The sequence below is a fragment of the Homo sapiens genome, chromosome 16 (genome assembly GCF_000001405.40).
Source record: "Homo sapiens chromosome 16, GRCh38.p14 Primary Assembly".
In the NCBI taxonomy this organism is placed as follows: Eukaryota; Metazoa; Chordata; class Mammalia; order Primates; family Hominidae; genus Homo; species Homo sapiens.
Window position 1 is genome coordinate 31,060,847 of NC_000016.10, and position 21,832 is coordinate 31,082,678.

General features: G+C 56.1%; 2 protein-coding genes across 13 annotated transcripts in view, besides 8 other annotated features; one reads left to right on the top strand and one right to left on the bottom strand.

The window, feature by feature from the left end:
• ZNF668 (zinc finger protein 668) lies at positions 1-13,394 on the bottom strand. 4 transcript variants are annotated; one of them, NM_001172669.2, is made up of 4 exons: positions 3,954-4,183; positions 3,726-3,839; positions 2,967-3,635; positions 1-1,434 (listed from the first exon to the last, which is right to left on the bottom strand). In NM_001172669.2, the coding sequence occupies exons 2-4, from the start codon at positions 3,770-3,772 to the stop codon at positions 222-224; spliced, it is 1,929 nt and encodes a 642-aa protein (NP_001166140.1). In that variant the 5' UTR covers positions 3,773-3,839; positions 3,954-4,183; the 3' UTR covers positions 1-221. The 4 variants fall into 4 exon arrangements, with proteins under 4 accessions (NP_001166140.1, NP_078982.3, NP_001166139.1 ...); NM_024706.5 differs by lacking the exons at positions 3,726-3,839; positions 3,954-4,183 and adding an exon at positions 12,813-13,394; NM_001172668.2 differs by lacking the exons at positions 3,726-3,839; positions 3,954-4,183 and adding an exon at positions 11,894-12,656.
• Positions 2,804-3,431: an enhancer, noted in NCBI's record as "H3K27ac-H3K4me1 hESC enhancer chr16:31074971-31075598 (GRCh37/hg19 assembly coordinates)". NCBI's record gives its function as "activates a minimal SCP1, AML or CMV promoter by ChIP-STARR-seq in naive H9 embryonic stem cells {active_cell/tissue: H9 hESC(naive)}" and the evidence as "EXISTENCE:reporter gene assay evidence [ECO:0000049][PMID:30033119]".
• Positions 3,432-4,059: an enhancer, noted in NCBI's record as "H3K27ac-H3K4me1 hESC enhancer chr16:31075599-31076226 (GRCh37/hg19 assembly coordinates)". NCBI's record gives its function as "activates a minimal SCP1, AML or CMV promoter by ChIP-STARR-seq in naive H9 embryonic stem cells {active_cell/tissue: H9 hESC(naive)}" and the evidence as "EXISTENCE:reporter gene assay evidence [ECO:0000049][PMID:30033119]".
• ZNF646 (zinc finger protein 646) overlaps positions 11,841-21,832 on the top strand; it is an 11,510-nt gene continuing 1,518 nt past the window's right edge. The window contains exons 1-2 of one of the 9 annotated variants that reach the window (XM_047434956.1): positions 11,841-12,096; positions 15,400-20,855. In XM_047434956.1, the coding sequence (XP_047290912.1) occupies positions 15,479-20,855 (5,377 nt within the window). In that variant the 5' untranslated portion in view covers positions 11,841-12,096; positions 15,400-15,478. Of the gene's footprint in view, positions 12,097-12,926; positions 13,142-13,575; positions 13,916-15,399; positions 21,828-21,832 lie in introns of those variants that run through there. The other 8 variants (XM_011545990.3, XM_005255712.5, XM_005255710.5 and 5 more) reach the window with 8 other exon arrangements.
• Positions 12,270-13,070: an enhancer, noted in NCBI's record as "H3K27ac hESC enhancer chr16:31084437-31085237 (GRCh37/hg19 assembly coordinates)". NCBI's record gives its function as "activates a minimal SCP1, AML or CMV promoter by ChIP-STARR-seq in primed H9 embryonic stem cells {active_cell/tissue: H9 hESC(primed)}" and the evidence as "EXISTENCE:reporter gene assay evidence [ECO:0000049][PMID:30033119]".
• Positions 12,362-12,656: an enhancer, noted in NCBI's record as "tiled region #2047; HepG2 Activating DNase matched - State 1:Tss". NCBI's record gives its function as "activates a minimal TATA promoter and a strong SV40 promoter by Sharpr-MPRA in HepG2 cells {active_cell/tissue: HepG2}" and the evidence as "EXISTENCE:reporter gene assay evidence [ECO:0000049][PMID:27701403]".
• Positions 12,545-13,004: a silencer, noted in NCBI's record as "silent region_7408". NCBI's record gives its function as "represses an Ori minimal core promoter by ATAC-STARR-seq in GM12878 lymphoblastoid cells {active_cell/tissue: GM12878}" and the evidence as "EXISTENCE:reporter gene assay evidence [ECO:0000049][PMID:35858748]".
• Positions 13,276-13,809: an enhancer, noted in NCBI's record as "H3K27ac hESC enhancer chr16:31085443-31085976 (GRCh37/hg19 assembly coordinates)". NCBI's record gives its function as "activates a minimal SCP1, AML or CMV promoter by ChIP-STARR-seq in primed H9 embryonic stem cells {active_cell/tissue: H9 hESC(primed)}" and the evidence as "EXISTENCE:reporter gene assay evidence [ECO:0000049][PMID:30033119]".
• Positions 13,315-13,454: an enhancer, noted in NCBI's record as "active region_10744". NCBI's record gives its function as "activates an Ori minimal core promoter by ATAC-STARR-seq in GM12878 lymphoblastoid cells {active_cell/tissue: GM12878}" and the evidence as "EXISTENCE:reporter gene assay evidence [ECO:0000049][PMID:35858748]".
• Positions 13,810-14,342: an enhancer, noted in NCBI's record as "H3K27ac hESC enhancer chr16:31085977-31086509 (GRCh37/hg19 assembly coordinates)". NCBI's record gives its function as "activates a minimal SCP1, AML or CMV promoter by ChIP-STARR-seq in primed H9 embryonic stem cells {active_cell/tissue: H9 hESC(primed)}" and the evidence as "EXISTENCE:reporter gene assay evidence [ECO:0000049][PMID:30033119]".

Consider the following 21,832-nt stretch of genomic DNA (forward strand, 5'->3'; position numbering starts at 1 on the left):
TGGTGCCAAAATGAAAGCTTTAATGAGTGTTACTCCTAGACAGTCACGTCTCAGCTTCTGCCAGCCTCCACTGTCCCAGCTCTCTTAGCTGGCCGACAGGGGAGCTAGTTGCTGAGGGGTAGGGATCTGGAGTCTAAAGAGCAGAGCCAGGCAAAAGGAGGTACAGGAAGCCCCCGATGGGGGCTGGGCTCCCGGAGTGTGGTGCTGGGGGGTCATGGGCTTCAGGCCGGCCCCTCTTCAGGCATTCCTAGCAAAGCCACCAGGGGCTCCAGGGGTGTGGGGGTCCCCATGGGCACAGGGTGGGTGCGTTCATGCTTGCGCAAGTCGCTGGCACTCAAGAAGGCCTTGGGACAATGGGGGCAGGTGTAGGGGCGCACTGAGCTGTGAGTGCGGCTGTGTTTGCGCAGCCCAGCCCGGTCAGAGAAGCTCTTGCCGCACTGGGTGCAGGGGAAGGGCCGGAGCTCCGGGTGTGAGCGCTCGTGCCGACGCAGCAGCGTCATTGTGGAGAAGGTCTCCTTGCACTCTCGGCACACAAACTGGGGGGGCTTCTCGTCAGCCTCCTCACCCCCCGCCTCGCCTGCCCCTTCCAAGGGACCAGGAGCCTCCCGGACACCAGCATCTTGGCATTCCACATGCTCCACCGTCATGCCCACCACCTGCCACTGTGTGGCCATCACACCACCTGACTCCGGGGGCAGCCCTAGCAGCCCTGCTGGAGGGTCCCCCAGCCCCGCCCCTGCTGCCGGGGCGGCTGAACTCTCACCTGCCACGCCCACAGGCAGCGCCAACCCCACCACCAGCTCCTGTGCAGGGGGCACACCCGCGGCCTCACTGCTTCGATGGGTCCGCTCGTGCTTCCTCAGGCTCGACGACACCACAAAGGATTTCCCACATGCGTTACAGTGGAAGGGGCGCTCCCCCGAGTGCACCCGGCTATGCTTCGTGAGGCTGGCACGCTCGGCGAAGGCTCGCCCGCACTCCTCACAGCGGAAGGGCCGCTGGCCAGAGTGCACCAGCGCGTGCCGCTTGAGGTCCCAGGACGCCACGAACGTCTTGTCACATTGCAGGCACTTGAACGGCCGGTCGCCTGTGTGCACACGCCGGTGCATGGCCAGGTCCGCCGGCTGCCGGAAGTCCTTGCCGCACTTCTCGCAGTGGTATGGCTTCACCCCTTCATGGGCGCGCTGGTGGCGACGGAAGCTCGAGGGGTCGGAGAACATGCGGCCGCAGCGCGGGCACAGGAAGGGCTTCTCCCCCGAGTGCGTGCGCTCGTGGCTCTGGTAGGAACTGAGCTGCGTGAAGCCCTTGCCGCAGGCCGGGCAGCGGTAGGGCTTCTGTGCCGCGTGGATGCGCTGGTGGCACGTGAGCGAGGATGAGCGGGAGAAGCTCTTCCCGCACTCGGAGCAGAGGAAGGGGCGCTCGCCGGTGTGGGACCTGCGGGGGTGTGGAGGACTTGGCATGAAGGCGACAGACCCATAACGTGACCCCACTGCCTGTCTGGGCTGTACTTTAGGGGCTCCCCAAACGTTCGTGGGGGCCTAGGCTTAATCCCCTAAGAGCCACATGGCTGCACCCCAGAGGAAGAAGCCTTCAGGCTGGCTGGGTGTCTCTATTCCAAAGACCTGTCTCTGCACATTAAAGACCAAGATATGGGCCGGGCGCGGTGGCTCACGCCTGTAATTCCAGCACTTTGGGAGGCCGAGGTCAGGAGATCGAGACCATCCCGGCTAACACGGTGAAACCCCGTCTCTACTAAAACTATAAAAAATTAGCCAGGCGTGGTGGTGGGTGCATGTAGTCCCAGCTACTCGGGAGGCTGAGGCAGGAGAATGGCGTGAACCCGGGAGGCGGAGCTTGCAGTGAGCCGAGATCTTGCCACTGCACTCCAGCCTGGGCGGCAGAGCGAGACTCCGTCTCAAAAAAAAAAAAAAAAAAAGAAAAAGAAAAAAAAAAAAGACCAAGACATGGCCAGGCGCGGTGGCTCACGCCTGTAATCCCAGCACTTTGGGAGGCCGAGGCGGGCGGATCACCTGAGGTCAGGAGTTCAAGACCAGTGTGACCAAAACGGAGAAACCCCGTCTCTACTAAAAATACAAAATTAGCCGGGCATGGTGGCGCATGCCTGTAATCCCAGCTACTCGGAAGGCTGAGGCAGGAGAATCGCTTGAACCCGGGAGGCGGAGGTTGCGGTGAGCCGAGATCGCGCCATTGCACTCTAGCCTGGGCAACAAGATCAAAACTCCGTCTCAAAAAACAAACAAACAAAAACAAAACAAAACAAAACAGAAAACCAAGATACGTGTCCTCCGCCTTTTTTTTCCTGTTCCCCAGGCTGGAATGCAGTGGCCTGACCATAGCTCACTGCAGCCTCGACCTCCCAGGCTCAGGCCATCCTCCCACCTTATCCTCCCAAGTACCCGGGACTAGAAGTGTACATCCCCACGCTCGGGTAATTTTTTTATTTTTATAGAGACGAGGCTTGCTGTGTTGCCCAGGCTGGTCTTGAACTCTTGGGCTCAAGCAATCCTCCTGCCTCAGCCTCCCAAAGTGCTGGAATTATAGGCGTGAGCTATTGTGCCCAGCCTAGAAACATGTCATTAATGTAGAGGCTGAGAAAAAGAAAAAAAAAAATGACCTAGACAAACCAGGCCCCACTCACACCTCCTGGTCTCCACAAAAGACCCTCAGAACTGCCCAACTCCAAACCCCGCCCCCTTTCCAGCTGGCCTACAACGGAGGCCAATCTGACCCAATCCCATTCTCAGAGATCAACCTCAAGGTGGTTGCCACCTCTGCCCAATCAGGGGCACCAATTTCTCCCACATGCCTAGCCCCTCCCCTTGGATCTGCCATGCCCACCTTCCCATTGGCTCACTTTACCCTGAGACTCAAACCCAGGCCCCATTGGCTGCAGCAACGCTGTCGCCCTGCCCCGGAAGGCGCCCTGCCCCGGAAGGCACCCTCACCGCTCATGGTTGCGGAGGTCCTTGAGCTCCGCATAGGCTTTGCCGCAACGCTCACAGCTGTAGGGCCGCAGGCCAGCGTGAGTACGCCGGTGCTTGCGGAACACTGAAGGGTCAGCAAAGCTCTTGCCGCAGTCGGCGCAGGCGTAAGGCCGCTCGCCTGTGTGGCCACGCTGGTGGATCTTGAGCTTGGAGAGCGCGCCATAGGCCTTCGGGCAGTGCGCACAGCGGAAGGGCAGTTCGCCAGCGTGCGAGGCCAGGTGCACGCGCAGGCACACGGGCTGCATGAAGCGGCGGCCGCACTCGGGGCACGGAAAGGGCTTCTCCCCCGTGTGGCTGCGCCCGTGGCTGCGCAGCTCGGGTGCCGTCTTGTAGGCCTTGGGGCATAGCGGACACGCATAGGGCCTAGGCTTGGCCGCGGAGCCTGACACCTTCTCCCCACTGGCTTCCTCTGCCTTAGCTTCTGTCTCTGGCTTTGGCTTCACCTCGGCCACCTCTTCAGAGCAGTCTGCCGGCCCATGTGTGGCAGCGTGGCGCGCTGCCCTGGGCGCGTTTGGAAATGTCTTGGTACAGGACAGGCACTTGTAGCGGCGGCCCGAGCGCTTGTAGCCGGGGGCTGGGGACCGGGCCTCTGCAGCCTCCACTTCCATGGCCTTGGTGAACGGGGTTTCTCTGCAAGAGAAGCAAAGTTAGACCAAAGCCACATACCTTCGCCACTCCTGAAAGCCTCAGAGAGAACCCTATCTCATCTGCATTTCTCACCTCGGAACCCACACATCCTTCCTGCCCAGCATTCCTGGCTCTGACATCCTGCGTTCGTTTCCTCCCTGATCTGCTCATTGAAGAAAGGAGTTGGACCAAGTGTCCGCAGAGCCACTAAGAAAGGAGGCTGAGGGTCACAAAAGATTCACCTACACGTCCCCCCCCGCCCCCAACGGGCTTTTCCAAACACTGTGGCATTCCCAGAGGCCCAGGTTCCATCTGTCTCACCATCTTCCTTCTTCAGCTCAGTGTCCAAGAACTATGCCAGGATAAAGAGTGTACCCAGACGTGGGCCTGGCCTGAAGGTCTCCAAGCGCCCAGAAAAGACAGACCTGGGACCAGAAAAGGGCTGAGCCAATGGGCTAAATCTGGTAGCTGGCACTGTCTGGAAGTGACAGGTCCCCAGCATTTGTGTTTTCTTTCCTCCTCTGGATGGTTAGTCCTCAGAGACAGCAACTGTTCACACAGAATTCTGGCCTTGCACAGCTGTACGGGCCTCCGCCCCAGACTGGAATCTGTCCACTCTCTGCTCTGGAATCTTGTTGGCCTGTTCCCACAACTCTGGTAATGGAGAATCACTCAAGGCAGCCTGAGCCATTGCTAGCAGCTGGAAGCCTCTTTCTGAGTCATAACTGATGTATCTGATCTAACATGGCCTCCTGGGATACCAGCTCTAGCTGAGATCCCTACTTTCTGGTCCAGAACCCAGACGCCCTCCACCCAGCTGCTCCTGGGGATCATGGTTGGGAGGAAACAGGATTAATGGCTGTATTAGTCTTAACACCAGCTCATCCTCCCTGGGGGATGAAGGGAAGAGGATTATGGCAGATCCACTTAAGGAGTGCTCAGCAGCTGCTGCTGGGGGAAGGGGTCTGAGGAGTGGGGGCTGCAGGGAGCCAGGTGTGCCCAGAGGCTAGGGGGCCTACGTTCTACTTGCAGCCCTGTGGATTACTATGAGACCTCAGTGAAATGAGTGTTGTTTATAAGACTATTTCCGCCCGGCTGGGCGTGGTGGCTCACGCCTGTAATCCCAGCACTTTGGGAGGCCGAGGGGGGCGGATCACGAGGTCAGGAGACCGAGACCATCCTGGCTAACACAGTGAAACCCCGTCTCTACTGAAAATACAAAAAAATTAGCCGGGCGTGGTGGCGGGCGCCTGTAGTCCCAGCTACTCGGGAGGCTGAGGCAGGAGAATGGTGTGAACCTGGGAGGCGGAGCTTGCAGTGAGCCAAGATCGTGCCACCGCACTCCAGCCTGGGCGACAGAGCAAGACTCCGTCTCAAAAAAAAAAAAATAAAAAGACTATTTCCTCATCTGGACACGTTAGGGGTTGGTGGCTTCTAAGTTATGACACTGGGGTTCAGGAGGAGGAAACTGAGCTGAGCCACGAGGGTGCTAGGGGAAATACAGAGACTCAGGGCCCCTTATGCCAGGAAAGGGCGGGAGAAGCAGCTTACCTGGTTGACCCAGGGAGGACACAGGAGCCCCTGACGCGTGGCAAGGGCCACATCCTTAAAGTCAGCACCCTTCTGCCTGAAATCCCGGCCTCAGGCCTGCACGCTGCCCTCCCTCCCCAACCCCATGCAGCCGGTCTTCTCCCAAAAGTAATGAATGATGTTTCCTGTTCCCTGCTCAAGAACTTTCCATGGCTTCCACCACACCATGCAAATCCCCAGGTCCTTCCTGCTTGTTCCAAATCTGACAAGTCCTTCACTGGAGCCCCACTTCCACCAGGAGGATCCTCAAGCATCTCCCCTTTGGGTTTGGCCCCAATCCCACAAAACTCCATCTTATTCTCACTTGGTTATTTCACTTTTCCCACTAAATCCTAGGGCTTAGCCAGGTGTGGTGGCATGCGCCTTAAGTCCCAGCTACGTGGGAGGCTGAGGCGGGAGGATCCTGTGAACCCAGGGGTTCGAGGCTGCAGGGAACTATGATCGTACCACTGCGCTCCAGCCTGGGCAACCTGGTGAGACCCCATCTCTACTAAAAATAAAAATTAGCAGATGTGGTGGCATGTGCCTGTAGTACTGCCTACTTGAGAGGCTGGGGTGGGAGGACTGCTTGAGCCCAGGAGTTCAAGGCTGTACCACTGCACTCCAGCCTGGGAGACAGGGCAAGACACTGTCTCAATCAATCAATCAATCAATAATCAATCCTGGGGCTTGAAGATAAGTTAAAGGGACTGAATTCTAACCTTTCTGATGACTTGAATTCTTCCTACAGTTTCCAAGGGATCCCTCCCTATTTCTGGATGAGGTACTCACTACCTCTTCCAGACGGTTTCTGGAGAGTCTGCCTGATAATGTTCCTCCTTAATAAAAATGATAGCTTGGGCCAGGTTCAGTGGCTCACACTAGCACTTTGGGAGACCAAGGCGGGTGGATCGCTTGAGCCCAGGAGTTCAAGACAAGGCGGGTGGATCCCTTGAGCCCAGGAGTTCAAGACCAGCCTGGGCGATATAGCAAAATCCCATTTCTACAAAAAATACAAAAATTAGCCAGGCATGGTGGAGCATGCCTGTACTCCCAGCTACTCCAGAAGGCTGAGGTAGGAGAAATGCTTGAGCCTAAGGAGACTGAGGTTGCAGTAAGCCAAGATGGTGCCACTGCACTCCAGCCTGGCAACAGAGTGAGACCCCATCTCAAAAATAAATAAATAAATAAATGATAAAAAAGATAGTTCACATTTACTGAGCACTCGCCAAATACCAGGCAGTATCCTAAACTCCTTATGTGTATTAGCTCAGTTACCCTTCATGGCAACCCCATGAGGAAAGTTCTATTATTCCATTTTCACAGATAAGGGAACCAAGGTCCAGAGAAATGGTTCAGTATTTTGTTAAGTGCCCAGTCCCTGAAGCCAAACTGTCTGGCTTCAGATTTTGCCTCCATCACTTCCCAGCTGATGTGACCGTGTGTAATGTACTGCATGTCTTAGAACCTCAGTTTTCTAATCTGAAAAATGGAGATAATGACAGTACTTACCTGACAGAGTTGGGTGAGGAATGAATGAGTCAAAAATAATTACTGTCCTCAATTATCAAAGCGTCTTCTTAGAGCCAGACACATTGCTGGGTGTGCTGGTTTATTTAATTTAATGTCTTATACCTTTCTGAGATAGGGATTCTTGTCCCTACTTTACAGAGGAATAAATCGAGGTTCCAAGAGTTAAGTGACTTGCCCATGGTCCCACAATGGGTAACCTAAGCAGCTGGGACTTCAGTCCAGGTGTTTAATTTGCCTTAAGTTGCTGGGGTCTTGCTCAGTGGTCTGGGGCCTCTTACGCTTGTCTGCTGCCTCCGCCAGCCCCACAGTGACCAGAACCCTGAGCTCAGGTCATACCTGTGTCTTCTCTCATCCTTGCAGAACTGCCCTGAGACCCTGGCCGGCACCCTTTATGTCTCTGCTTCCCTCTCAGAGGGCTTGACCCAGTGGTTCTGAGCTCTGGCCCTTCTACTGCCTCTTGCCAGCTCTGGGTCTCAGCCTTCCTATCTGTGAGTTAGACACCAGGTAGCTGGAGGGGAAATCCCTCCTCCCATGGCACTTCCCAGGGGAAAAGGTAGGGGAGTGCCAGGTTGGTCTCAGCATGCGCCCAGCTACACAAAGAGGCCAGGTAGGCTAGGTCTCTGTCTAACATCCCACCATTAAAAAAAAAAAAAAAAAAAATATATATATATATATATATATATATAATTTTTGAGATGGAGTCTTACTCTGTTGCCCAGGCTGGAGTGCAGTGGCGCGATCTTGGTTCACTGCAACCTCCGCCTCCTGAGTAGCTGGGACTACAGGCACCTGCCACCACACCTGGCTAGTTTTTTGTATTTTTAGTAGAGACGGGGTTTCACTGTGTTAGCCAGGATGGTCTCAATCTCCTGACCTCGTGATCCGACCGCCTCGGCCTCCCAAAGTGCTGGGATTACAGGCGAGAGCCACCACGCCCAGACTTTTTTTTTTTTTTTTATTAAAGAGCTTGAGGTAGGCCTCAGGAATCTGTATTTTAAATACACTCTGGATCATTCCAGCCAATACTTTTGTTTGTTTGGTTTTGAAACAAGATCTCACTCTGTCGCTCAGGCTGGAGTGCAGTGGTGCAGTCATGGCTTACTGCAGCCTTGACTTCCCAGACTCAAGCAATCCTCCCACTTCAGCCTCCCAAGTAGCTGGGACTACAGGCATGCACCATCATGCCTGGCTAATTTTTATTTTATTTTTAGTAGAGATGAAGTCTTGCTATGTTGCCTGGGCTGGTCTAGAACTCCTGGGCTCAAGTGATCCTCCCACCGCAGCCTCCCAAAGTGCTGGGATTACAGGCGTGAGCCACCGTGCCTGCCCAACCAATACTTAAGAACCAAACACACATCCTTAGGTCTCCACGAGCTCTCAGGAGAGGAGCATTTTAAGTGTTCACTACACCTCTTTTTCAGATATTGAGATTAAGGTCCCCACAAAGGAAAAACTGTACACAAGGACACACAGCTGGTCAAGGAGCCAGACTCGAACCCAAGTCTCCATTCTCTCCCCCAGGTTGAATCATGAGACTTCCCACTGCTCCCAGGAAAAAGACCAATATCTTTTCCATGGCCAGCATAGCCCCAAACCATCTAAATCCTGCCTACCTGGGCAGATCACTTGAGGCCAGGAGTTTGAGACCAGCCTGGCCAACATGGTGAAACCCCATCTCTACTAAAAATACACACACACACACACACACACACACACACACACACACCTGCCTACCTCACCTCCCACTCCTCTCCCTGGCCCACTGGGCTCTACCCACAGAGGCCTCCTTTCTTCTCCTCAAAGAGCTAAATTCCTTCCCACCTCAGGGCAGTGGCACTAGCAGTTCCCTCTGTCTGAGCCACTCTTCTCCCACGATCTTTGTGTAGCTGTCTTTTTTGGTGTTATTTGGATCTCAGCTCCCAGTCACCTCCTCAAAAAGAGCTTTCTTGACCACCTTTCCTTTTCTTCCCCCCTTTTAATATTCCAAATTTTTTCCTTTTTTAACCAACCAAGGAGCACTGAATGACTACCTTTCTCAATGCTATCTTTACCCCTGATAATCATTCTCTATCTACTCTTTATTATTATTATTATTTTTTGACGGAATCTCATGATTATCTATCAAGCAGTTCTCCTGCCTCAGCCTCCTAAGTAGCTGGGACTACAGGTGCCCGCCACCACGCCCGGCTATTTTTTTTTTTTTTTTTTTTTTGAGACGGAGTCTCACTCCGTCACCCAGGCTGGAGTGCAGTGGCACAATCCTGGCTCACTGCAAGCTCCGCCTCCCGGGTTCATGCCATTCTCCTGCCTTAGCCTCCTGAGTAGCTGGGACTACAGGTGCCCGCCACCACGCCCGGCTAATTTTTTGTATTTTTAGTAGAGACAGGGTCTCACTGTGTTAGCCAGGATGGTCTCAATCTCCTGACCTCGTGATCCACCTGCCTCGGCCTCCCAGAGTGCTGGGATTACAGGCGTGAGCCACTGCACCCGGCCCAATCCCGGCTAATTTTTGTATTTTTAGTAGAGATGGGGTTTCACCATGTTGGCCAGGATGGTCTCGATCTATTGACCTCGTGATCCGCCCGCCTCGGCCTCCCAGAGTGCTGGGATTACAGGTGTGAGCCACCGCGCCCGGCCCTTTTTTTGAGACGGAGTCTTACTCTGTCCCCCAGGCTGGAGTGCAATGGCACAATATCTGCTCACTGCAACCTCCGCCTCCCGGGTTCAAGCGGTTCTCCTGCCTCAGCTTCCCGAGTAGCTGGAATTATAGGCGCCCGCCACTACATCTGGCTCATTTTTGTATTTTTAGTAGAGAGAGGATTTCACCATGTTGGCCAGGCTGGTCTTGAACTCCTGACCTCAAGTGATCCACCCACCTTGGCTTCCCAAAGTGCTTGGATTACAGGCATGAGCCACCGCACCCAGCCCTCTTTACTTTTTAAAAAATGTTTTTATTTTTATTTATATATTTATTTTTGAGACAGAGTTTCACTCTTGTTGCCAAGGCTGGAGTGCAATGGCACCATCTCTGCTCACTCCAACCTCCGCCTCCCCGGTTCACGAGATTTTCCTGCCTCAGCCTCCCGAGTAGCTGGAATTACAGGCATCCACCACCACGCCTGGTTAATTTTTTGTATTTTTAGTAGAGATGGAGTTTCACCATGTTGGCCAGGCTGGTCTCGAACTCCTGACCTCAGATGATCCACTGCCTCGGCTTCCCAGAGTGCTGGGATTACAGGCATGAGCCACCGTGCCTGGCTTATTTTTATTTATTTTATTATTTATTGTTATTATTATTTGAGACAGAGTCTCCCTCTGTTGCCCAGGCTGGAGTGCAATGGTGTGATGTCAGTTCACTGCGACCTCTGCCTCCTGGGTTCAAGCAATTCTTCTGCCTCAGCCTCCCAAGTATTTGGGATTACAGGTGCCTGCCACCACAGCCAGCTAATTTTTTGTATTTTTAGTAGAGATGGCCATGTTGGCTAGGCTGGTCTGGAACTCCTGACCTCAGGTGATCCACCCACCTTGGCCTCCCAAAGTGCTGGGATTACAGGCTTGAGCCACCATGCCCGGCCTATTTATTTCATTTTTATTTATTTATTTTCTTTGAGAGAAAGTCTTTGTTGCCCAGGCTGGAGTGCAGTGGCTGCATCTCAGCTCACTGCAGCCTCCACCTCCCGGATTCAAGTGATTCTCCAGCCTCAGCCTCCCGAGTAGCTGGGACTACAGGCGAAAGCCATCACACCTGGCAAACTTTTGTATTTTTAGTAGAGACAGGGTTTCACCACATTGGCCACGCTGGTCTCGAACTCCTGACCTCAAGTGATCCGACCGCCTCAGCCTCCCAAAGTGCTGGGATTACAGGCGTGAGCCACCGTGCCTGGCCTTTATTTTTATTTAGAGATTGGGTCTCACTCTGTCACCCTGGAGTGCAGTGGCTCAATCATAGCTCACTTCAGCCTCAAACTCCTGCACTCAAGCAATCCTCCTGAGTAGCTAGGACTATAGGCACCCACCACCACACCTCGCTAATTTATTAAAAATTCTTTGTATATAGAGATGGAGGTCTCACTACGCTGCCGACAGTGGTCTCAAGAACTCCTGGCTTCAGATGCTCCTCCACTATGGCTTCCTAAAGTGCTGTGATTACAGGCATGAGCCACAGTGACCAGCACCCCTCCTCTCTAATTTCCTTTATGGTGTCATCTGGACAATACTCCTTGCAAGCTTACCATGGGCAAGGTATCATTCTAAGCATTTTGTGCATAATACTCAACTACTCAAGCCAACTGCACAGCTGCCTAGCAGTTCATTATGAGTGAATGTTTGTGTTCCCTGTCCATTCATATATTGAAATTCTAACTCTCATTGTGACTGTATTTGGAGACAAGGCCTTTATGGAAGTAATTAAGGCTGAATGACGTCATAAGGGTATGGCCCTGGTCCAGTAGGATTAGCGTTCTTATGAGAAGTGACACCACAAAGAAACAAGCTTACTAGTCACGGTCCCAGCCAGTGTTCAAATCCCAAACACCTGCTCTCTGAGCCCTGACTATTGCTTTGCTAGCATTACACATCTTATGGTTTGGCTGTTAATTCTTCATCACCAGCACCAGAGTCCAGGCTGGCAAAGGGCTAGGAAACCGATCATCTGCCTCCTCTACACCCAGAACCCTGTGTGGTGACCCAAAACAAATGGAAAGAACCAACCTCAGATGAAATTTGAACCCAGGTCTGTAGCCTCTGCCTCCTCCACAGTAGGAGTTTGTGAGAATGTCCACCAATAACTGTTTATTAACTAAATTCCTCCACCTTTCCAACTCCACAAGGCTCAACTATTGCCCCAATATCCCACAGTGGGCTCCCTGTCGTGGCGATGAAGCCTTGCTTTGCCTCACTACTGGCTTAGGAAGGGGATGAAGTTCTGCTGTCTCACTAGGCAAGCAAAGATTCAATTTCCAAAAATCCTAGGCTAGGACCCTGGGGCAGGGATGAGGAGAAAAAGGAGGCACCTCAATCTTCCCATCTCTAAACAAGCAGTCACCACACAGGCCTCACGGCCAGGAGTGACGTAGTGAGCGGATGAACCCTGCAGAAGTGAGCGCTAATCATATCCTAGGCCTCCTACCGGGCCAGTTCACAACCTGATCCCAACCTACTTTTCCAGCCTCAGCTCCAGCGACAGAGTCCTCCTCCCGGCAGCGACCGAACCTCCAGCCACAATTCTCAATCCTCCACCTCTAGATGCAGTTTCCTGGGCTCGGGGAGCCCTTGCCTGCCTTCTCCAACGGGAAAGCCCCTTTACATCCTTCAAGAACCCCCTTCCCTAGTGCCCTCAGGAATACTTTATGGCAGTAGAGAGGTAAGGGCCCCACGCCGCTCTGGACCTCAGTTTCCTCATCAGTAAAATGGGGTCCCTTAAGTTTGTGGGAGTTTGAAGGGCGGTGGGGCCTACGAAGCGCGCCGAGGAGCCGAGAGTTGCAGAAACCCGGAGCTCCTCGCTCCTCGCAACCGTCTGTACGCGGCGCCCCCGCCAGCCAGGCAGCCCCTGGAGGGCAGGACCCCGGTTATAAGCCTCAGAAAACGTGGCTTCGGAGGACGTGGCAAGGAGGACTGAACGAAGGATGAGGAGATGAACAAATGAATGGACGGAAGGCCGAATGAGGGACAAAGGCTTGCAAGATGGCGTTCTCTAGGACCGCGGGAGTGGTGGCCGGGCCTCAGCAGGGGAGGGGGCCGCCGGCGCCTGGGATCTTGCAGCGCGGGCCACGCGACCGGGACAAAAACCCAAAACATGGCGGGCTCTAGGACCCCCGGGACCACACCGCGCCGGGCCAGCAGCCGCGCGGGCCGAGCCTGGGTGTCCGCAGCCCAGAACCGCGGAGACAGCCGGCGGGTTCTAGGACCTGCTGGGCCCGCAATGCGCCCGGGGCCGCTCACAGCCCGCCCCGCCCGCGCTGCTCGCGCTGGGCCAACCCGGCCCGCCCTCGGCGCCCGCAGGGAAACTGAGGCCAGCTCGGATCGTGGCCGCGTGGGAGCTGCCCGGGGCCCTCGCGGCTTCCCGCCGACGTTTCCTACCTGATGAGACTTGTGCTGACTCCGTGGCGTCGGCGTCGGCTCCTCGCACCGACGGAGCCCGGACCCTGCCAAACAGGGGCCGGCGCTAGGACCCAGCGGGGGGCGGGGAGGTGGGACCGGTGGCGCGGCGAGCGGAAGTGAGGGATCTTCCTCAGCTAGGAAGGAAGGGAAAGTTCCCGGGGAACCTCCAGCCTATGGCGGCAGAGAAGCATCTTGCAAGAGGTCTCTGTGTGTGCTGAGGCAAGGGGACGCCAGGCAGGCTGACGGTATACGCCCGCCTTGTGTTAGTCTGGGGCCAGGTCACCGGCAATGTCTTCAAGAACCAGAAGGTGGGAGGACAAAAAGGCCATGCTCAAGCTCTGCAAAACCTAAGTCCAATTATATTCCACAACATTTCCTTTAATAGCAAGGAGTGGGTTTCACGAAGTTTTCTCCATCTGCCTTGGGAAAAGTCCTCCAGAGAGCCCCACGAAAAGTGTCACCAAAGTACTGTGGCCAGGGCTGTAGAATCTTTTTCTCCCTTTCTGCGCCTATTCAATATGCACCGGAACGATTCTAGCTGCTCTTGCCGGAAGTGTGGCTAGCTTAGCGTGCAAAGACGCCGCGTTGTGACCTACGTGGGCGGAGTCAGCCGTGCAGACCTAGAACTTAGCGCCGGAAGTGTGTCTGCGTAAAACTGCGGCTCGGAGGCGGGACAGGCAGTGCTCCCGAAGCGGAAGTTTCGCGGGGAAGCTTTTGCACCTAAGGACACTTCCTGTTTCCTAGTAACAATAGGAAGTGTCCGTAGAGCTGGGAGTAGACTCCTGGCTCATGCCAGCTGCGCCCTCTTTTCTCTACCTCCTTCCTCTTCCCCCCTTCTCCTTTCCCTCTTTCCCTTCCCTCCCACCTCCCGGGAACCCTGGCTGAGTGTGCGTGTGTGGGAGCGCGAGAGCCCCCCGACAGCCACCCCTTGGGGCGCGCGGCTGCAGTTAGGGTAAGGGTCCCAGTGCGCAGGCGCGCTCTTGTTCGCGGTCCCCAACTGACGCGCCCGCGGCGGGAAGGAGAGGGGGCCGCCGGTGCGAGGTAGGCGTCCTGAGAGGAAATTGGCAGACGAGATGAGTGAGGTCAGAGGACTTCATTGGTGGTTGACTAGGGGAGGGGACTTTTGATCAAAGGGGCTTTGTGAGGTGAGAATTCCGGGGGCAGGTTCAGTGAAGGGGTTTACGGTCGGAGACAGTTGTACTGGGGTCCCATGGGAAGAAGAGTCAGAGTTGGAGAAGGACAAGACGATGTAGGGGGCATGAGAGAGCAAGGGCTTTGGGATGAAGACCGCCTCAGTCAGGGGGTTTGCTGTTACGTGAACTAGAATAACAGGCATTGCCGTGTGTTCTGAGGATTGAGTAACACAATGAATATAGTTAGCACAGTGCCTGGCACATGGTAATATAATACTCTTCATGAGTTGCTGTCATCATCAGTATTAAGAGAGGAGGCAGAAGAAAAAAATGAGAAAGACTGGTGAGGGTAAGATCAGGAGGCATGGGAGAGAAAAGGTAGGCAATGAAGTGACATTACAACCTGGTATTGATGTTATTCCCAAGATGGAAGATAGTTTGAGTTCAAGGGAAGTAGATAAAAGAAGTCGCTAAGAGAGTCTTTTGGGGTTTTTTGTTTTTTTGAGATGGAGTCTCGCTCTGTCACCCAGGCTGGAGTGCTGTGGTGGGATCTCAGCTCACTGCAACCTCCACCTCCCAGGTTCAAGCAGTTCTTCAGCCTCAGCCTCCTGAGTAGCTAGAATTACAGGTGCCCACCACCACGCCCGGCTAATTTTTGTATTTTTAGTAGAGACAGGGTTTCACCATGTTGTCCAGGCTGGTCTTGAACTCCTGAACTCAGGTGATCCACCAGCCTCGGCCTCCCAAAGTGCTGGGATTACAGGCGTGAGCCACCACACCTGGCCCAGTTAAGAGAGTCTTAACTCTCTTAACTCTCTTGTCACAAGGAAAAGAGACCTTGTGACACTGAAATGACTCGGGGTGGTGGGGGAACAAGCCAGCCCTTTCCCTGAAGGAGGCCTCTAACCTCTCCTCTCAGGTCCTCAGCTATTAACTGGAGGAAACAGCTGCTTTTTCAGTGCTTCTCAGCTACTCTGTTTAGCTGAGAGATGAAGTAGGAAGATTTGGACTTCTCTTATTGAAAGGCCTAGAGAAGGTTTTGGTGTCCTTTTAAGATGTCACAGAAAATTTTTGTTTCAGGATTGTAGGGAGCAGATTCCTACTGTTCTTAAAGGACAGTAATGCCTTTTGAGTCTGGTCTGAAGAACATAACAGGTCTGTGATCAGAAGTAGGTTGCATCTCTCTCAACTTTAATTTCCTTAGCTATACCTGTAGGGATGACTTAAGCCTAGGGGAGCTCCTATATTTGGGAAGCTTGTGCACAGGGAAGCCTTAAATGATGGTGCCTGCAGATTGGATCTAGTAGAAATTAGGTCCTTGGGCATGGATGCTTGGGGAACCTCTCAGTGACCTCAGGTGAACTTGTTGCTCGTAGAGCCAAGAGGCGAAGTTAATTCAGGCCTTCCTTTTGACCACTGCCCCCTCTTCCTAGGCCTTGGCCCCTCCACCAGAGGAAGGTGCTGCCACGTGTCTGCTCCTTCTGAACCTCCAGGTTTCTGCTACGTTGCCCCATGGAGGACACACCCCCCTCACTCAGCTGCTCCGACTGTCAGCGCCACTTTCCCAGCCTCCCAGAGCTCTCTCGGCACCGAGAACTGCTCCATCCATCTCCCAACCAGGACAGTGAGGAGGCTGACAGCATCCCTCGGCCCTACCGTTGTCAGCAGTGTGGGCGGGGCTACCGTCACCCCGGGAGCCTGGTTAACCATCGTCGGACCCACGAGACTGGCCTTTTCCCCTGTACCACCTGTGGCAAGGACTTCTCCAATCCCATGGCTCTCAAGAGCCATATGAGGACACATGCTCCTGAGGGCCGCCGCAGGCACAGGCCCCCACGCCCCAAGGAAGCCACTCCACACCTCCAGGGTGAGACGGTGTCCACTGACTCCTGGGGCCAAAGGCTTGGCTCTAGTGAAGGCTGGGAAAACCAGACAAAACATACAGAAGAGACACCTGACTGTGAATCTGTACCTGACCCCAGGGCAGCTTCGGGTACGTGGGAAGATCTGCCCACCAGACAAAGAGAAGGCTTGGCAAGCCACCCAGGTCCTGAGGATGGTGCAGACGGCTGGGGACCCTCCACTAACTCTGCCAGAGCCCCTCCTCTCCCCATCCCAGCCAGCAGCCTTCTTAGCAACTTGGAACAGTATCTGGCTGAATCAGTAGTGAACTTCACAGGGGGCCAGGAGCCCACCCAGTCCCCTCCTGCTGAGGAGGAGCGGCGGTACAAATGTAGTCAGTGTGGCAAGACCTACAAGCACGCCGGGAGCCTCACCAACCACCGCCAGAGCCACACGCTGGGCATCTACCCCTGTGCCATCTGTTTCAAGGAGTTCTCTAACCTCATGGCTCTGAAGAACCACTCTCGACTGCATGCCCAGTATCGGCCTTACCACTGTCCCCACTGCCCCCGTGTCTTCCGGCTCCCCCGGGAGCTGCTGGAACACCAGCAGTCCCATGAGGGTGAAAGGCAGGAGCCACGCTGGGAGGAGAAAGGGATGCCCACCACCAATGGGCACACAGATGAGAGCAGCCAGGACCAGCTCCCCAGTGCACAGATGCTGAATGGCTCTGCGGAGCTCAGCACCTCTGGGGAGCTGGAGGACAGTGGCCTGGAGGAATACCGGCCTTTCCGCTGTGGGGACTGTGGCCGTACTTACCGCCATGCTGGGAGCCTCATCAACCATCGAAAGAGCCACCAGACAGGTGTCTACCCCTGCTCACTCTGTTCTAAGCAGCTGTTCAATGCGGCTGCCCTCAAAAACCATGTGCGGGCTCATCACAGGCCCAGGCAAGGAGTTGGGGAAAATGGGCAGCCATCAGTCCCACCAGCTCCCCTGCTGCTGGCTGAGACCACCCACAAAGAGGAAGAGGACCCCACCACCACCCTGGACCATCGGCCCTATAAGTGCAGTGAGTGTGGTCGTGCTTACCGCCACCGGGGGAGCCTGGTGAACCATCGCCACAGCCATCGGACTGGAGAGTACCAGTGCTCACTCTGTCCCCGCAAGTACCCCAATCTCATGGCCCTGCGCAACCACGTGCGGGTACATTGCAAGGCTGCTCGCCGAAGTGCAGACATCGGGGCTGAGGGTGCCCCCAGCCACCTCAAGGTAGAACTCCCGCCTGACCCAGTGGAGGCAGAGGCAGCCCCGCACACAGATCAGGACCATGTGTGCAAACATGAAGAAGAGGCCACGGACATCACCCCAGCAGCAGACAAGACAGCAGCACATATCTGTAGCATCTGTGGGCTGCTCTTTGAAGACGCTGAGAGCCTTGAACGTCATGGCCTGACTCATGGGGCAGGGGAAAAGGAAAATAGCAGAACAGAGACCACAATGTCACCTCCTAGGGCCTTTGCCTGCCGAGACTGTGGAAAGAGCTATCGCCACTCAGGCAGCCTTATCAACCACAGGCAGACCCACCAGACAGGAGACTTCAGTTGTGGGGCCTGTGCCAAGCACTTCCACACCATGGCTGCCATGAAGAACCACTTGCGCCGGCACAGTCGGCGGCGGAGCAGGCGGCATCGGAAGCGGGCTGGCGGTGCCAGCGGTGGGAGAGAAGCCAAACTCCTGGCAGCGGAGAGCTGGACCCGGGAGCTAGAAGACAATGAAGGCCTGGAGTCTCCCCAAGACCCTTCAGGGGAAAGTCCTCATGGGGCTGAAGGCAACCTGGAAAGTGATGGGGACTGTTTGCAGGCTGAATCTGAAGGGGACAAATGTGGGCTTGAGAGGGATGAGACCCATTTCCAGGGTGATAAAGAGAGCGGAGGCACTGGGGAAGGACTGGAAAGGAAGGATGCCAGTTTACTTGACAACTTGGACATCCCAGGTGAGGAAGGTGGTGGCACTCACTTCTGCGATAGCCTCACTGGGGTGGATGAAGACCAGAAGCCAGCCACTGGCCAACCCAACTCCTCTTCCCACTCTGCCAATGCTGTCACTGGCTGGCAGGCTGGGGCCGCTCACACATGCTCTGACTGTGGGCATTCTTTCCCCCATGCCACTGGCCTGCTGAGCCACAGGCCCTGCCACCCACCAGGCATCTATCAGTGCTCCCTCTGCCCGAAGGAGTTTGACTCTCTGCCTGCCCTCCGCAGCCACTTCCAGAACCATAGGCCTGGGGAGGCGACCTCAGCACAGCCTTTCCTCTGCTGCCTCTGTGGCATGATCTTCCCTGGGCGGGCTGGCTACAGGCTTCACCGGCGCCAGGCCCACAGCTCCTCTGGCATGACTGAGGGCTCAGAGGAGGAGGGGGAAGAGGAAGGAGTGGCAGAGGCAGCCCCTGCACGCAGTCCACCACTGCAGCTCTCGGAAGCAGAGCTGCTGAATCAGCTGCAGCGGGAGGTGGAAGCGCTGGACAGTGCAGGGTATGGGCACATCTGTGGCTGCTGTGGTCAGACCTACGATGACCTGGGGAGCCTGGAGCGTCACCACCAAAGTCAGAGTTCTGGGACTACTGCAGACAAGGCTCCCAGCCCCTTGGGAGTGGCAGGTGATGCCATGGAGATGGTCGTGGACAGTGTCTTGGAGGACATAGTGAATTCTGTCTCTGGAGAGGGTGGAGATGCCAAGTCTCAAGAGGGAGCAGGCACCCCCTTGGGAGACAGCCTCTGCATCCAGGGTGGGGAAAGTTTGTTGGAGGCTCAGCCCCGCCCCTTCCGCTGCAACCAGTGTGGCAAGACCTATCGCCATGGGGGCAGCCTGGTGAACCACCGCAAGATCCACCAGACTGGAGACTTTCTCTGCCCTGTCTGCTCCCGCTGCTACCCCAACCTGGCTGCCTACCGTAATCATCTGCGGAACCACCCTCGCTGCAAAGGCTCTGAGCCCCAGGTTGGGCCCATCCCAGAGGCAGCAGGTAGCAGTGAGCTGCAGGTTGGGCCCATCCCAGAAGGAGGCAGCAACAAGCCCCAGCACATGGCAGAGGAGGGGCCGGGGCAAGCAGAAGTCGAGAAGCTCCAGGAAGAACTTAAAGTGGAGCCCCTGGAGGAAGTGGCCAGGGTGAAAGAAGAGGTGTGGGAGGAGACCACTGTGAAGGGGGAGGAGATAGAGCCCAGGCTGGAGACTGCCGAGAAGGGCTGCCAGACTGAAGCCAGCTCTGAGCGGCCCTTCAGCTGCGAGGTGTGTGGCCGATCCTACAAGCACGCCGGCAGCCTCATCAACCACCGGCAGAGCCACCAGACCGGCCACTTTGGCTGTCAGGCCTGCTCCAAGGGCTTCTCAAACCTCATGTCCCTCAAGAACCACCGGCGCATCCATGCAGATCCCCGACGTTTCCGCTGCAGCGAGTGTGGGAAGGCCTTCCGCCTGCGGAAACAGCTGGCCAGCCACCAGCGGGTCCACATGGAACGGCGTGGGGGTGGGGGCACCCGAAAGGCGACTCGGGAAGATCGGCCCTTCCGCTGTGGGCAGTGCGGGCGGACCTATCGCCACGCCGGCAGCCTCCTGAACCACCGGCGCAGCCACGAGACGGGCCAGTACAGCTGCCCCACCTGCCCCAAGACCTACTCCAACCGCATGGCCCTGAAGGACCACCAGAGGCTGCACTCAGAGAATCGGCGGCGACGGGCTGGACGGTCCAGGCGCACAGCTGTGCGTTGCGCCCTCTGTGGCCGCAGCTTCCCTGGCCGGGGATCTTTGGAGCGGCACCTGCGGGAGCATGAGGAGACAGAAAGGGAGCCAGCCAATGGCCAGGGAGGCCTGGATGGCACAGCGGCCAGTGAGGCGAACCTGACTGGCAGCCAGGGACTAGAGACCCAATTGGGTGGTGCTGAGCCAGTACCCCACTTGGAGGATGGAGTCCCAAGGCCAGGGGAGCGCAGTCAGAGCCCCATCAGGGCAGCAAGCTCAGAAGCCCCAGAGCCACTGTCCTGGGGTGCAGGGAAGGCAGGTGGGTGGCCGGTAGGTGGGGGACTGGGGAATCATAGTGGAGGCTGGGTTCCTCAGTTCCTAACTAGGTCAGAGGAGCCAGAGGACAGTGTCCACAGGAGTCCTTGCCACGCTGGTGACTGCCAGCTCAATGGACCTACTCTGAGTCACATGGATAGCTGGGACAACAGAGACAACAGCTCTCAGCTGCAGCCAGGGAGCCACTCCTCTTGCAGCCAGTGTGGCAAGACTTACTGCCAGTCAGGCAGCCTCTTGAACCACAACACCAACAAGACAGACCGACACTATTGCCTGCTCTGCTCCAAGGAGTTCTTAAATCCTGTGGCCACAAAGAGCCACAGCCACAACCACATAGACGCCCAGACCTTTGCCTGTCCTGACTGTGGCAAAGCCTTTGAGTCCCACCAGGAACTGGCCAGCCACCTGCAGGCTCATGCCCGGGGCCACAGCCAGGTGCCAGCCCAGATGGAGGAGGCCAGAGATCCCAAAGCCGGGACTGGGGAGGACCAGGTGGTTCTCCCTGGTCAAGGGAAAGCCCAGGAGGCCCCATCAGAAACCCCCAGAGGCCCAGGAGAGAGTGTGGAGAGAGCCAGGGGAGGACAAGCGGTGACGTCCATGGCGGCTGAGGACAAGGAGCGGCCCTTCCGCTGCACCCAGTGCGGGCGCTCCTACCGCCATGCTGGCAGCCTGCTGAACCACCAGAAGGCCCACACCACAGGGTTGTACCCGTGCTCCCTCTGTCCCAAACTTCTCCCTAACCTGCTGTCTCTTAAGAACCACAGCAGGACCCACACGGACCCCAAGCGCCACTGCTGCAGCATCTGTGGCAAGGCCTTTCGGACAGCTGCCCGGCTGGAGGGCCACGGGCGGGTCCATGCACCCCGGGAGGGGCCTTTCACCTGCCCCCATTGTCCCCGCCACTTCCGCCGCCGAATCAGCTTCGTGCAGCACCAGCAGCAGCACCAGGAGGAGTGGACGGTGGCCGGCTCCGGTAGGGGGCATGAAGGGTCCCAGGAGGAGGTGGGCACACAGTGGAGGGGGAAGTCCAGCCCCAAAGTCGGTGGGGGAGCAAGGAGTGAGAGGAGAGAGCCCCGGGGATTCTAAGAGGTGGGTGGGGGCTTGGCTATGGGGTGAGAGAAGTAGCTTGAGGATGTGCTGAGCTGAGCACCCGCAAGTCAGGTATAACAAATAGCAGGGTGGGTTGGGCAGCACGTGGGGGCGTGGTCAGGCCGAGGCTGCTACCTGGGCTCCTCCATTACACTGTAGCCAGAATGGAATGGTCTTTCTGTTCAGGGGAAGGTCACTGGGTACCCCCTGGCTGCTGTGTCTGGAAACCCTCCTGAGTCAGCCAGTAAAGTAATGACTTCCAGAGAAAAAGAGGAAGCCATTGGTTTGGTCTAGGTTCCATTCTTTCCTGGAGCAGGCCGGGTGCCAGGGAACAAGGGATGGGGCATGGGCTCCACGGCTTCCCTGCTGACTTGGCCACGGAAACTGGTTCACTGGTTGGCACCCTACTCCCTGTCCCTCTTTCCCTGCGCCTTGTCTCTGCTGCTCCTCTCCTTGGAAACTAGACCTCTGGTCCTTCCCTGTCAGTGTTGCTCCCATCTCTTCTCTAACCTTTATTCAGCCCCTTTTCCCTCTGCTGCCAACGGCCTTTTTAGGATCCAACCAAACCACCCTTTCTACCTGCGCACCCTGCCACCCTCTGCACACCTTTAACTGGAGGACTGAGTCACAGATAATTGTTTCCTTGAAGTCCAGGCCCAGCTGCAGCAACAACAGTCATTAGCCCGTGTCACATCCCTGATCAGAGGGCATCTCCGTGGGGAATCGCCTCCACCCAGCACTGCTGGAAGCCGCAGCTGCCAGGGAGTGGGGCGGCCGGTTCCCTCAGCAGGACCTGGGCTGGCCTCTCCACCTCCCCTAGTAGAGGCGGACCCATTCCATCTAGTGGCCACCGAGGGTGGG